This window comes from Homo sapiens, chromosome 8, assembly GCF_000001405.40.
Source record: "Homo sapiens chromosome 8, GRCh38.p14 Primary Assembly".
NCBI classification, from domain to species: domain Eukaryota; kingdom Metazoa; phylum Chordata; class Mammalia; order Primates; family Hominidae; genus Homo; species Homo sapiens.
The window spans coordinates 76,461,216-76,476,906 of record NC_000008.11 but is presented as its reverse complement, the minus strand read 5'-3'; the positions used below and the strand labels follow the sequence as shown (position 1 = coordinate 76,476,906).

The 15,691-nt window shown below is 37.2% G+C and overlaps 1 long non-coding RNA gene across 1 annotated transcript in view; it reads right to left on the bottom strand.

The window, feature by feature from the left end:
- The window catches only part of LINC01111 (long intergenic non-protein coding RNA 1111), a 117,703-nt gene that overhangs the window by 47,450 nt on the left and 54,562 nt on the right, over window positions 1-15,691 (bottom strand). Inside the window, exon 3 of the long non-coding RNA NR_105006.1 lies at window positions 863-961. This is a non-coding gene — a long non-coding RNA (long intergenic non-protein coding RNA 1111). The remainder of the gene's footprint in view (window positions 1-862; window positions 962-15,691) is intronic.

The window sequence follows — 15,691 nt, the reverse complement described above, 5'->3', positions numbered from 1 at the left end:
TTGTACATCTGAGTTTGTGGATCAAGATTCTTATTTCTACAATTAGAGAATTAAGCAATTAAGGAGTCAATAGTGTAAGTTCAGCAGAGCAATGAGAAAGTATACATTGAGCAGAGAACAAGAAGTAAGAAAGTTTGAGAAAGGAGGAGAATAAAATTGAATGGGAGCTTGATAGTAAAAGAAAACTTGATTAAGTTTACTGGCTGAGAAAAATAACCAACAGACAGGGAAACAGAGTGAAAAGGAAAAGGGCACAGACAATTCTCTGTATATGCAAACACTATATATGTACAGACAATACTGTTTTTTCTTTCTGTTGAAGCCTCCTCACATTGAAGATGCATACATCTCTAACTGGTCTTTAATAGGCTATCATCTAAAATTTCTTAACTCCTGGATTTCCTTTGCTATTACAAGCCCATGCAACCCTAGCCTGTTTTTTCTCTCTCTCTCTTTTTTCTTTTTCTTTTTGAGACGGAGTCTCACTCTGCTGCCCAGGCTGCTCACTGCAGCCTCCACCTCCTGAGTTCAAGCAATTCTCCTGCCTCAGCCTCCCAAGTAGCTGGGATTGCAGACACCCACCACTATGCCTGGCTAATTTTTGTGTATTTAGTATAGACAGGGTTTCACCATGTTGGCCAGGCTGTTCTCAAACTCTTGACCGCAGATGATCCACCCACCTCGGCCTCCCAAAGTGCTGGCATTACAGACATGAGCCACTGTGCCTGGCCAGCCTGCTCTCTTTCTGTCTGTCTTTAGGATTTTCTCCAAAGACATAAGGTCAATTTAATTCAATTCAACTAATTTGACCTGTTGTGTTTATTGATTGCCTGGCCACTGATTAAGCACTTCACCATCCTACTTGCTCTTCATCTGCAGCTTCTTCTCTCGGAGTTGAAAGGAATCATTCTCAGGCTGTTCAGGTCTTCTGGTCAGTAGGAAGATCCCTCCTTTGATGGAACTGTGGATGAACCAATAGTTGTTAGTTTGCCTTTAGGAAAGGAGTCCCACTTCACTACTTTTTATGTAGAAATTTTGTAGACAAAGATACCATGTCTATGATGTGAAGTCATGTCTAAGGGGTTCAGTTTATTATTTATTTGCTAATGAAAGATAAGTATTTTGTCAACGGCAATAAATGACAGCCCTCATTTTATTGCAAGGAGGGAGAGGGAACAGATCTAAATATCTTGCTAAAACATGACATTAGTTCCATGTTTTTAATTTAAATGAGGGCATTTTGCAATATTTGGTCTGAGATAGTATACATTTATCAAAACTCAATGGCATTGGCTCTGGTTTTCTTGTGTACTTGTGGAGGGAAAGTGCACATTTCATTGTTGGCAGCTGCTACAGCTAGGAATATGGAGATTCCTCTCCACGTGCACAAGAAACAGAAGTTAGGCCCAATCAATCCTTGCTCAGGGACTTACTGTGACCTAGACAAGTCCCTGAATTAAAATGTCCTTAACTACATCTAAAAATGGGGTGACTAGTACCTATTCTGAAGAATTATTAATATATGCAGAACACTGAGTCAGGTGTCTGTGTTAAGAAAAAGTAGCCACTCTGGTTAATATTAATTATCAGTCTGCTGCTAAATGGTAGCAGAACAGTGAATCAGGTGTCCGTGTTAAGAAAAAGTAACTACTCTGGTTAATATTAATTATCAGGTTGCTGCTAAACAGCATCTGCTACAGACATTTTAGAGGGAGAGGGTGAAGGGTAAAATGTTTTCCATTATCTCCATGATCTACCCCAAATACTCATTCCTGCTGCACTTACTTCATTTTTGTAAAAAGCTGCAACTGTCCCCACAAAAATAAACATAAACCCAATTCATTCATTTCTTAGTTTTGCTTTTTAAGCAAACACTCACATTTTAGTATGCTATAGGCTAGCCGAACATTGCGGAGTTTGGGAGGTTTATAGGGGTCAGGCAGCACTGCAGAGATTGGGTTAACATTAGGTTTATCTTGAACACTCAACTCAAAGGTTTCTAACACCTCAGTAAAAATTTCCCCAGACTCTCCACCCCAACACTTCCCAGTTCATTGTTTTTTTCCTTACTGTTGCTTCTTGTTACATATCTTGTTCTTGTACTGTCCCACTATATTATGTGGTTTACGTGACTGTCCATCTACCTACATAATGAGCCCACAGACTTTGCCTTTGACCCTTACTACTAAGAAGATGCTCAATAAATGCATGCATCAATTCATAAATAGAATTCTGAATAAATTAATTAGTACCAATGGAGAGGTATAGACAGATTATGAAACTGTAGCCTAGTTCAATTAGAGCAGTGAACCAGCCATCTTCACCTTCACAAGGACAACTTGAAGGCAAGCTCCAGGGCATGTATGCTTTAGGTGTTAACTACAACAGAGGTTGCACTGAGGACTAAGAACAAAAGGGTGGGCATTTAGGGGGCACTGGGCTGCTTTAGAACCTTTTTTTTCCTCCTGGGATTCACTTTCCTATACCATCCCCCACCCTTATTCACCGAGCACTGATCCTGATAGCTTCCATTACCTGAGAGACTTTTATATGCATAACAAGACATTTATTCACCAGGACTCCTCCCCTCAGCCTCCCATGACTTGTGCCACCACCTCCCAGAAGCCCCAAGTCCCTATTCCTTTCTGCAGCCCAGGACGCTATAGAAACTTTAGTCACCTGATCCTTCTTCAAGTCTCATTTTGTGGAACTCCCATGCATGTGTGCATCACTAAATATATTTTCCTCCTGTTAATCTTATGTCTTATATCAATTTAATTCATATTCCAGACAAGGAACCTAGAAGAGTTGAAGGAAGCCATTTTTTACTCCCCTACATTAACTTCTTTAAACTTTAGTTCACTCACTTGTATAATGGAGATATTTGTACAGTATTACGTTCCTCATAAGGTTCTTAAGAAGATGAAATCTGGAATATCTTAAAAACTGAACAAATTGCTTTTGTTATTATTGTGGTTACAATTAACCCTTGAACTTGACTTCTAACAGGCTATTGTTGACTGAAATTCTTACCGATAACATAAACAGTTAACATATATTTTGTATGTTATATGAATTATATGCTGTATTCTTACAATGAAGTAAGCTAGATAAAATGATATTAAGAAAATTGAAAGAAAGTGAAAATATATTTACTTATATTTCATTAAGTGAAAGTGGATCATCCTAAAGGTCTTCATCCTCACAATCTTCATGTTAATTAAGCTTTGGAGAAGGAGGAAAAGGAGGGGTTCTTGCTGTCTCAGAGGTGGCATAGATGGAGGAAAATTATATATACGTAAACCCATGTAGTCCAAACCTGTGTTCTTTAAGGGCCAATTGCATTTTGATTTATGAGTTTTTGGTTAAAAGTCAACAATATCTTTTACCACTGGTAGTATATATATTCTTTCATATTCAACTTAGAATAGACTTTTTATATTTGATTGGGAAGAATTTTCTTATGTCTTTAAAGAAAATATGGGAACAGAGGCAAGATGGTGGACTAGACCCAGCCACTGAGGGACAGGGTCATCAGGAAGACTGGTGCACTCCAAGTAGGTCTTCAAATGGAAGGTATTGAGAGTGGACAGAGGGAGGATATAGGCACTGGACTGAAGGGGGAGAAAACTGGGAACCCTGCACGGGGCTACTGCACACTCATTCCTGGCCCCCAAGGACTCTTGGGGAAGGGGTGACTTGAGCAGGCAAGGAGAAACCTGTTCTCACCATGAACCCCTGGAATCCTGGCAGCAGGAGACCCCACAATCCCTCTGGACACTTGAGCTGGCAGGGAGAGCTGCTTAGAGAGGTGGTAGGGGCCAGACTCCAACCTGTGCAGAGTCCAGAGGGTTTGATGTGAGAACATCTGCAGTGGAGCATGGCCAGGGATACCCATCCCTCAAGGCTTACCATGCTCCCCTAGGAGATTTTTAACCTTAGGGTGATCATTGGACCTGAAGATAGCAAGGCCTTCTTGCCAGTGAGATGGGACCAGTCCAACCTGAGCACCTCCTTGTCTGTTGGTCTCTCCCAGGGTCCTAGCTTGCCTGTGCCTGCTTGCAGTGCAGCCTTGGATGCCCAACTGGGGTGACTCCTGGGGACCTGCATGAGAGCTGCTGCACTGGCAGAATGCACCTGACCATTGGAGAGCTCCACCAGTATGCACCAGCCCACTCACACCCTCCTCCCACAGCAGCCTCTCTCATGCCTCTTCGCTGGCACACACTCATCCATGGCCCCCATTGCTTTGCTGGTGTATGTGTGCACAAGTGGACCTCGCCTCTCCTCCCCAACAGATTCCTGTGTGTGTGTGCACCCACTGTGTCACTGCTGATGGTATAAGCACACCCTGCTCTCTCCTTCACCATGCCAACATTGCTGGTGCAAACATGCACATGGAGACTAGTGGGTCCACTCCCCTGTCCTGCACCACCATTGTTGCTGGTGCAAATGCATGCACAAAGGCCAGTGGCCGTGCATTGTCATTGCTGCCAGAACAAACCCGTGCACAGAGGCTGTCAGCCCCGCACTTACCAGTGCCCTGTCCCCACACCAAGACTGTTGCCAGTGCAAATGTGCACACAGATGCTAGTGGTTCCACCCCACACCATGCTACCACTGCTCCCATAGCCAAAGCCTGCACAGAGGCTGGTAGCCCTGTGCCCATGCCCTGCCCGATCTCATGAGCATGTACCCTGCATGCTACTGCTGCTGCTGCTGGCATTTGTGAATGAGCTTGGATCCTGCTGCTACCACTCAAAGAAGTGCTTTGGCTGGTACCACCCATTGAAGTGTTGTGGCCAGCAGTCTGGGAACACCTCGACCTCTCCAGTGCAGCAGGATCCTAACCTCACAGGAACAGAGAACAAGGCAAAGGGCCCACCAGCCCCACAGAGTGAGAACATGTAGCCCAGAGTGCTGAGCTGAGCCTTGGCCCTCTAAAATATTACTGAAATGAAGCCAGTTAACTAAACTTACCTTATACCACAATCAACTCACAAAGGATATGAAAATAAAAGCAAAAAAATCCCATCCAAAGGACAGCAACTTCAAAAATTGAAGAAAATCAGCCCACAAAGATGAGAAGGAACCAGCACAACAACTCAGGAAGCTCAAAAAGCAGAGTGTCATCTTACCTCCAAATTACCACACTAGTTCCCTAGCAATGATTCTTAACCAGGCTGAAATGGCTGAAATGACAGAAGTAAAATTCAGAATGTAGACTGAAACCATTATCAAGATTCAGGAGAAAGTTGGCTGGGCGTGGTGGCTCACGCCTGTAATCCCAGCACTTTGGGAGGCCAAGGCGGGCGGATCACAAGGTCAGGAGATCGAGACCATCCTGGCTGACACAGTGAAACCCTGTCTCTACTAAAAAAAATACAAAAAATTAGCCGAGTGTGGTGGTGGGTGCCTGTAGTCCCAGCTACTCGGGAAGCTGAGGCAGGAGAATGGCATGAACCCGGGAGGCATAGCATGCAGTGAGCTGATATTGCACCACTGCACTCCAGCCTGGGCGACAAAGCGAGACTCCATCATAAAAAAAAAAAAAAAAAAAAAAAAAAAAAAAAAAATTCAGGAGAAAGTTGAAACCCAATTCAACAATTCTAAGAAATACGTAAAATAATACAAGAGATGAAAGACAAAATGGCCATTTTAAGAAAAAAAAACTTATCTGATAGAGCTGAAAAAATCACTTCAAGAATTTCAGAATACAATTGCAAGTATTAACAGGAGACTCGTCCAAATTGAGGAAACAATCTCAGAATTTGAAAACAAGTTCACTAAAATAACTCAGTCAGATAAAAATACATAAAAAGTAATAAAGAAGTATGAACAAAACCTGAGAAATGTGGAATTATGTAGAGAGACCAAATCTATGACTCACTGGGGCCCCTATAAGAGAAAGAGAGAAAGCAAGCAACTTGGAAAACATTTCACGACATCATTCATGAAAACTTCCCAAACCTCACTAGAGAGGCCAACATTTAAATTCAAGAAATTTAGACAACCCCAGCAAAATACTACACAAGAAGATAACCTCCAAGACAGATAGCTATCAGGTTTCCAAGGTCAAAATGAAAGAAAATGTTGAAAGCAGCAAGAGAGAAGGGGCAGGTAACCTACAAAGGGAACCCTCATCAGGCTAACAGTGAACCTCTAAGCAGAAACACTACAAGCCATAATAGACTGGAGGTCTATAAATAATCAGCATTACCACAGAAAGGAAATTCCAACCAAGAATTTTATATTCAGCCAAACTAAGCTTCATAAGTGAAAGAGAAATAAGAACCTTTGTAGATAAGCAAATGCTAAGGGAATTCTTTACCACCAGACCTGCCTTACAAGAGGTCCTGAAGGGAGTGCTAAATATGGAAAGGAGAGACTATTACCAGCCACTACAAAAACATATTTACATATATAAACCAGTGACACTACATGCCAATCACACAAAAACATCTGTATAATAACCAACTAAAAACATGATTCACAGGATCAAATCCAAACATAATAATACTATCCTTGAATGTAAATGAGCTAAGTGCTTCAATTAAATAAATGGCAAATTGGATAAAGAAGCAAGACCTAACAGTATGTGTGGTCTTCAAGAGACCTGTCTCACATGCAGTGACCTCATAGGCTCAAATTAAAGGAGTGGAGAAAAATCTGTCAAATGAATGGAAAACAGAAAAAAAGCAGGAGTTGGTATTCTAATTTCAGACAAAACAGACTTTTAAGTGACAAAGATCAAAAAAGACAAAGAAGGGAATTACATAATGGTCAAGAGATCAATTCAATAAGAAGACCTAACTATCCTAAATATATATGCACCCAACAGAGAAGCACTCAAATTCATAAAGAAAGCTCTTAGAGACTTACAAAGAGACTTAGATAACCACACAATAATGGTAGGATACTTCAACACCCCACTGACCATGTTAGACAGATCACGGAGGCAGAAAACTAACAAAGATACTCAGGACCTAAACTTGACACTGGACCAAATGGACCTAACAGACATCTATAGAATGCTCCACCCCAAAACAAAATATATATTCTTCTTATCCGCACATAACACATGCTCTAAAATCGACCACACAATCAGCCACAAAAAGATCCTCAGCAAATTGAAAAAACAAAACAAAACAAAACTGAAAACATAAGAAACACATTCTAGGACCACAGTACAATAAAAATAGAAATCAATATTAAGAAAATTCCGCAATTCATACAATTCCACATTAATTAAACAACCTACTCCTGAATAACTGCTGAGTAAATAATGAAATTAAGGGGAAATCAAAACCTGGCAGAGACACAACAAAAAGAGAAAGCATCAGAGGAATAACTTTGATGAACATCGATGCAAAAATCCCCAATAAAATACTGGCAAACCGAATCCAGCAGCATATCAAAAAACTTATCCACCATAATCAAGTAGAATTTATCCCTAGGATGCAAGGTTGGTTCAACATACACAAATTAATGAATATGATTCATCACATAAACGAGCTAAAAATAAAAAGCACGTGATCATCTCAATAGAAGCAGAAAAGGCTTTTGAAAAAGTTCAACATCCCTTCATGTTAAAAACTCTCAATAAACTAGGCACTGAAGGAACGTACTTCAAAATAATAAGAGCTATCTATGAAAAACCTACAGCCAACATAATACTGAAAGGGCAAAAGCTGAAAGCATTCCCCTTGGCAACTGGAACAAGACAAGGATGCCCTCTCCCACTCCTATTGAACATGGTACTGGCATTCCTGACCAGAGCAATCAGGAAAGAGAAAGGAATAAAAAGCATCCAAATTGGAAGAGAGTGTTTCAAACTCTTCTTGTTTGCAGATGATATGATTTTATTTATAAATATTTTAGAAATATTTATTTTAAAATATTTTATTTATAAATCATATCATCTGCCAACAGGAACAGCTTGCATGGTTTTTTACATAAAATCTGTGGGCTTTTTCAGATAGAATCAGAGAGTCAAACTATCCCTGAATCATATTATTTGTAAACAGGGATAGTTTGACTCCCTGATTCTATCTAAAAAACCCAATAGTCTCAGCCCAAAAGATGCTTGATTTAATAACCACCTTTAGTAAGTTTCAGGAAGCAAAATCAATGTATGAAAATGAGTAGCATTTCTATGCACCAACAACATGCAAGCTGAGCACCAAATCAAGAACATCATCCCATGCACAATAGACATGAAAAGATTAAGTACCTAGAAATACAACTTACCAGGGAAGTGAAAGATCTCTACAAGAAGAATTGCAAAACACTGCTGAAAGAAATGAAAGATGACACAAACACATGGAAAAACATTCCATGCTCACGGATAAGAAGAATCAATATTTTAAAATGGCCATGTTACCCAAAGCAATTTGCAGATGCAATGCTATTCTTATCAAACTACCAATGATATTCTTCACAGAATTAGCAAAAAAAAAAAACAAAAACAAAAACTATTTTAAGACTCTTAGGGAATGAAAAAAGAGACCAAATAGCTAAGGCAATCCTAAGAAATAAAGACAAAGCTGAAGGCATGACATTATTCAACTTCAAACTATACTACAAGGCTACCAAAACAGCATGGTACTCATATAAAAACACACACATAGACCAATTCAACAGGGTAAAGAGCCCACAAATAATACCGCATATTTACAACCATCTGATCTTCAACAAAGTTGAATTTGTTGACAGCAATAGGGAAAGGACTCTCATCATATATAAAAATTAACTTAAGGTGGATTAAAGACTTAAATGTAAGACTTCAAATTATAAAAATCCTGGAGGAAAACCTAAGAAATACTCTTCTAGACATTGTCCTGGGCAAAGAATTTATGACTAAGTTTTCAAAAAAAAAAAAAACACAACAAAAACAAAAATTGACAATTCGGACCTAATTGAACTAAAGAGCTTCTGCACAGCAAAATAAACTGCCAACATAATAAACAGACAACCTACAGAATGGGAGAAAATACTTGCAAACTATGAATCCAACAAAGGTCTAACATCTAGAATCTATAAAAAACATAAACAAATGTCCAAGCAAAAACCAACCCCACTAAAAAGTGGGCAAATACATGAAGAGACACTTCAAAATAAGACATATGTGTGGCCAACAAGCATATGAAAAAATCCTCAGCATCACTATTCCTTGGAGAAATGCAAATCAAACAACAATGAGACACCATCTCACACTAGTCAAATTGCTATTATTAAAAAGTCAAAAAGTAACAGATTTTAGTAAGTTTGTGGAGAAAGAGGGATGCTTATACACTGCTGGTGGAAATGTAAATTAGTTTAGTTATTATGGAAAGTAGTTTGGCAATATCTCAAAAAACTCAAAGCAAAAATTATTCAACCCAGTAATCCTATTATTGGATATATACTTAAAGGAATAGTCTACTGTAAAGACACACGCACATGTATGTTAATCACAGTATTATTCACAATAGGAATGACATGGAGTCAACCTAAATGCCTATCAATGGTAGGCTGGATTTAAAAAATTTACTACATATACACCATGGAATACTACACAGCCATAAAAAAGAATGAGATCATGTCCTTTGCAGCAACTTTGATGGAGCTGGAGGCCATTAACCTAAGCAAACTAATACAGGAATGGAAAACCAAATACCACATGTTCTCACTTGTAAGTGAGAGCTAAACATTGAGTACATATGGACACAAAGGTATGAGCAACAGACATGAGCACCTACTAGAGGGTAAAGGAAGGGAGGAGGAAGAGGATTGAAAAACTATCTATTGGGTACTATGCTTATTAACCTGTATACCAAACCCCTGTGCCATGCAATTTACCTATATAACAAACCTGCACATGTTCCCTTGAACCTGAAATAAAAGTTAAAAAAATTAATGAAAAAACTGCATAACTTTTTCCTTAAACTACCAAATATTGCAAAAGAAAATTAAGGAAAATCTAAATCAATGGAGAGTGATTGTATGTACACTGATCAGAAAATTCAATATTTTAAAAATAACAGTTTTACCCAAACTGCTGTATAGATTTAATGCAATGTCAGTAAAATCTTAAAGAGAATCCTTTTCTACTCCCTCCAAAAAGAAAGTAAAATAATGTATTCATGATAATATAAATTATTCTTAACTGAACCCTACCTGTCAAAGTTTGTGTAAACATCTTATGATGATTAATTCATTGACTTAATTCCATAAATACATGTAAATCATGTAATACTGGAGGCAGATTTCAAAAATAATTTTTGTCACTTATATGTAGTTAATGAATGAGGTTCAGAAAATGGCAAACTTTTTGAAATTCTAGATAGTATCTCTAGGTGAAAGCGCATGTCATCCGTTTCTCAGTGGACTCTATAAACCCACTCCTGTCCCCCAAATGATTAAAAATTGCTTCTCTGTAAGTACTGATTCAAATTATTTTTGGAAAAGAGCAAGGTTCATTACGTGTACTAAAATAAATTAATTCTATAAGTAAAGAGTGCTTCAACCTCAGCAAATTTGTAACTTGTTTGAATGGTTTTCAGGACAATAGCAACAAGCTCCTTTTTCCATACTTAACCTGGATCTAAATAATTAACAAATTCTCCATGGGACGTTAAACATGCTTAAAAATGATACAATTCTAAAGTCAATGCAGGGGCTGAAAAGGCTCTGTTCCTTTTCCAAGTTTCAAACCAAAATGGTTGATGTTTTAAAACAAGGAGCATGTTCTTTGAGGCTGTGTTTTCAATATTAAGCTGTAGTTTATGGCCCTTTATTGTCATTTTGTCTATATTTTAAGCCAATCCTGTAATAGTTTTTTTTTTTAAGAATAGGGTTAAATTTAAGAGTTAGAACTTGCCAAAGATGACCAAAGGGAAGGAGAATGAAATATTTGCTGCTAATTGTAGCTTCTAGGCTGAATCTGTAAGACTTGGATAAAGGACTTCTTTATCTAACACACTTCCCATAAATAGTAGTTAACAGATGTGTCCAAATTTTCTATATTTCTTTCTCCATTAAAAAGTCAATTGTGATTTTTATTCTGATCAATATTTTCAGAGCAAACAAAACAATGTATCTAACTTTTAAAAATAATGTTTTATCATGAGGCTGATTGTCTGACTCATTTAATCTGGTGGTGAAAAAGATTGAGTTTGCCGTTATCTGAACTTTGTGGTGATAGCAATGGTCCTATTAGGTCTTCTGGGTCTCTCTTCTGTATTTTAGTGATGTGTTAAAGGTGTTAAAAGTATCGTTGAAGGTTCCTTTGAACTCTGAGATTCTGTGATTCTTTAAGCATTGGTTGTTGAGCAGGATCAGAGTTTTAGAGCTTGAAGTTATTTTTAAAATAATTTGTTTTCTAAGTACCAGGAGTTAACTTCTTGTCCAAAATTACAGTATTGGGAAGACAGCAGTCTCTGCCTGAAGTCCCAACATCTAATCAGATGCTTCTCTCCAACATGGGAGAACATGGGTTTTGTCACTGTGACTACTATGTGGAATTCATCCTAAAGATTATGCAAGGAAACCTCAGAGCAGGTTCCTTGCAGATTAATGCCCTGGTTATAAGCAAAACTCAGGTCAGCTACGACAGAAATAAGGGCTGGCTTACGGTTGTGAAAGGCGTAAGACAGAAGCAAAAAAGATAAAGCAAATCCTTGAAATAGAAAGAGTTGGGTTTTTATATTATTTTTGTCTACCTACAGGGCTTCCCTATAGTCACTTTATATTTCATTGAAAATTCCTTTATACTTACATTTTTCAGGTGTATCTGATATCTCAGATATGCTCTACATGGACTCATTCATGCCTTTTAATGCAGTTCATACATAACTTTGTAATAATCACCTTGTTAATGTAGCAGTATATTGGAGCATTTATTTGAGAGTAGGGTAAGATAAGAAGAGGAGGGAATCATATTGGAGAGATAGATGATAGGGAAGTGAAATGAAAATGTGAAGTCTATGATTACAAAAGTAAACAACTTCCTAAAGAAGTCTTCATAAATTTAAAAGAAAAGTAAAAATACTATTATTGAAATCCTCTTTTGTCTTATATCTTTACATTAAACATATATCTATCAATCTATACATGCACACACATGCACACACACATATGCATATTATTTAAAGAGGATAAACTGTGATTTAGAGATATAAATGCCTATTTTAAACTTTGAAATATCTTTAAATCTTCAAAATAATTTGTGATATGAGCTTTTATTCAGTAATCTCATATTTTTCATTTAATATTGTTTCAAATAATATTTTTCGATCTAATCTTTGGCCATCTTTGAAGTGTGTGACTTAAGTATAACGTTTTAAAAAAGCTACTATAAGATGGAGACAGATATAAAGACCTCACACACACACACACACACACACACACACACCACAAAAATGTAGGAACACTTTAGGGAGAGAGGAAGCGTTCCCTGAATATGGTCACTGTGGGACAATGATCTCAATCATTCATTTTTATATAAATGGGCAGTTTTTGTTATTTTTTTGATAGTACATTAAAAAATCAAATCCAAACCTAGTATCCTTAATGGCTAGATGTGAAATGTAGATTCATAGCATTTATCTTTCACACACAAGCTATAAATTACTTCCATTCATAAAGTTTTTATAGAACCTTTTTTCCAAAAAAGAATTTTTGTGTCCAAACAACAAATTTAGTAAGCATTTACCAAACTTTGAAAGTGGTGTGACTATTAGAAAATAAAGGAAGGTGTTCAAGACCCTGGTTAAAAGCAAATGTCCCTTCAGCAAGTGGGAAATGTTGAAGTGTAAGAATCAATGTGTAGAGTCTTGAATAGTTAAGAAACGGGGCCTATAGGGTGGGCACATCTAGTTGTGCTGTTCTCCCATTAACAACCCTACCATATGTCTAACATTTAGCTAATTTTATTTTCAGAAGATAAAAGATGCCAAGTCATCCACCACACTGGTACGTTTAATGAGCTGGGGTTATTTTACCTCTTTGCTTACATGTGAAAATCAACACATAAGCTCACCCGTTAGGTTTCAATCAAATCTGAACAACTTGGGAGTAGGGATGCAAAGTTTATTTGTGCTCCCATCATACACAATAAAGATCCTGTAGTGATTATTTTTCCATCACCTGTGCTTGACCCGAAAAATTTTAATAGGATCTAAAATATCTCGTGATTGGCCTTCTACTGTCAAATAGCAATCAAGATGCTGTGTTTAAAACTGACTTTAAAGCAGAACACACATTTGCTAAGCGATATTGAATGAAATGCAAATTTCTCAGTAGTTGCTAGTAAAATAGTTGTTAGATTGTTCAAATATAAGCTTACAATATGGAGAACAAGTATGGCATTAAGGAAGGATGCTTAAGTCTTTTTACTTTTCAGGGGAAATAATTCAAATCTTCAAAGTTTGGTTACATTTAGACAGGAGTTTTAAAATAAATATATGTGCATCTATACTATTAACTTAAAATTATGTAGTCCCATATTTTATATATTACATTCTAAGTAAATTCTGAACCTTTTTATGCTACCAAATGGTTATTTATACATTGTATACAATTCTATCAAGTTGTACATTTATAAAGTACCTATCTGAGGGAAGTATTTATTAAAAATATAAATGATCTGCTCAAAATCCAATGTCAATGTATTTTAAAATAAATTTGGAGGATTTATATTATGCCATATTTGGGAGGAAGATAGGAACCTAGAGATTTTATGTGCTTAACTCTTTAATATTTTATTGTTCAAATATTAACTAAATGATATATAATGTATAGATTCTGGATTTTCAGATACTCATCAGCCTTTTCTCTCTAATTTTATAAAGATAACATAATGTTTGAGATTTGGATTGCTCATTTTACTGAAGACTATGGTCAGCGTTAAGTTAATAGAAATAGTGTAGCCTGACTGCATACAGTAAGTTTTGAATCTGCTTATAAAGACATGTAAAAGTGCACCCTGCTAGGAACTCTACTATTCATGCTGAGGTTTAAACACCGGAATTGGGTTCCCAGTGGATTTTCACTTTCACAAGTACTTAATGCAGCTTTAGGTGTCTCAGGGGCAATCTGAACTAGCCACTGAATATCCTTTTTAAGGGGAGTTAACAATGGCTTAGTTCCACCTCTCTTGAAATACAGGATTCATGTTTTTCTCTCTTAAAATTTAGTGTTCCTAGAGACAGTTGGGAACATTAGAGAATAAGACTGTATTTATCCATCCCAAGCTAGGTACAATGTAGGTGAGGGCAATCCAATGTTCCCTGCAGTGCTTTGTCAAAGCTTTTTAACCCTACGCTGAAAGGATAACCACTTCAGAGTGCGGTTACAATTGAAACTCCAAACCTATTAAAAACTTGGGCCTTTACATTGGTGTAGGCTTTTGATTATAAAAAAATTCTATGGACTTTTGATGATGTACACCTCTGTACTCAAGGTTATATTGTGAGCCCTGGACTTATTACAGGTGCAGCCAATTCTAGGATTAGAACCCAGACCTTAGATCCTTTCTTTTTTGAAAAGTATTGTGATTGTATTTTGGGCTAGAAGAGTTACGGGGTGAACCAACTCAAGTTAAACTCATAAAGTACACACATAAATGATGCTAGGAACATAGTTGTCAGGAATGTAGAAAAGTTACACACAGGATCTAATATCTCATGTTAAAATAATCACACGCACATATGTACATATGCAAATAGATCATATAGGAGAAGTCATGATATCATTGCATTTTGGTAACTTAGAAATTTTAAAAAAACACTTAGAATATATTAGTCAGGATGAGCAAGATTATTTATGCTGTAGTAACAAGCAACTGCCAAATCTCAATGTATTTGAACATACTTTGTTTATTTCTCCTTCACAGAAGCCCTGGGGACCCTGCAGGCATCTATCTTCCATTCTTAGTGATCCAAGTTACCCAAAATCTCAACATAGGTTTTCTCGTTTATCTCCATAGTAAGGGAAGAGACAGCTTGGAGTCTCCCACGGATACATGAATGCATCTACCTGGAAATAATACATCACTTCCACTCACGTTTCATTGGCCGAAGAATATCAAGGGGATGGGGAAGTTCAGTGACCACTCCCTTCCACCCCCACCATAAACTGAAGGAAGAGAAGAACTGGAAACACAGGTGAGTAACCTAAATGTATACTACAGAAGAGCTGATAGAATCGTAGGTGGGAAATCCATGAACTCTTTAACTACTTCAAACATATACACTGTATTGCTGAATTAACAAATATAACTAATTTTGAATAAGAGGGATTTTCTGAAATTATTCTCAATGATTTGTCTATAAAAGTCAATGAAATTATTATTATAAAACTTGCACAATGTGCATATTTATAAAGTACTGTATTTCATCAAATATTTAAATGACATTTCAATATACAAAAAAATCCATAGACTAATTTCATTATTGTCACAGGCAGAATATTATATTACTTGAAAAGTGCTCAATAAGATTGATTTGTGTTCTCGGTGACATGTAGTCTCCACTGACCACTTGCCAGGTTGGGTTACAAGAGCCTTTCAAACCACAAACTGTGCTGTGGTCTTTACAATGCAATGCCTGGAATGCTTACACTAAGCTCTGAAACACTACAAAATATCAATGGCCAGTTCACAGCCACTACCAATCCAGGCAGAAGCACTTTGCTTCAAATTGTTTGAAGT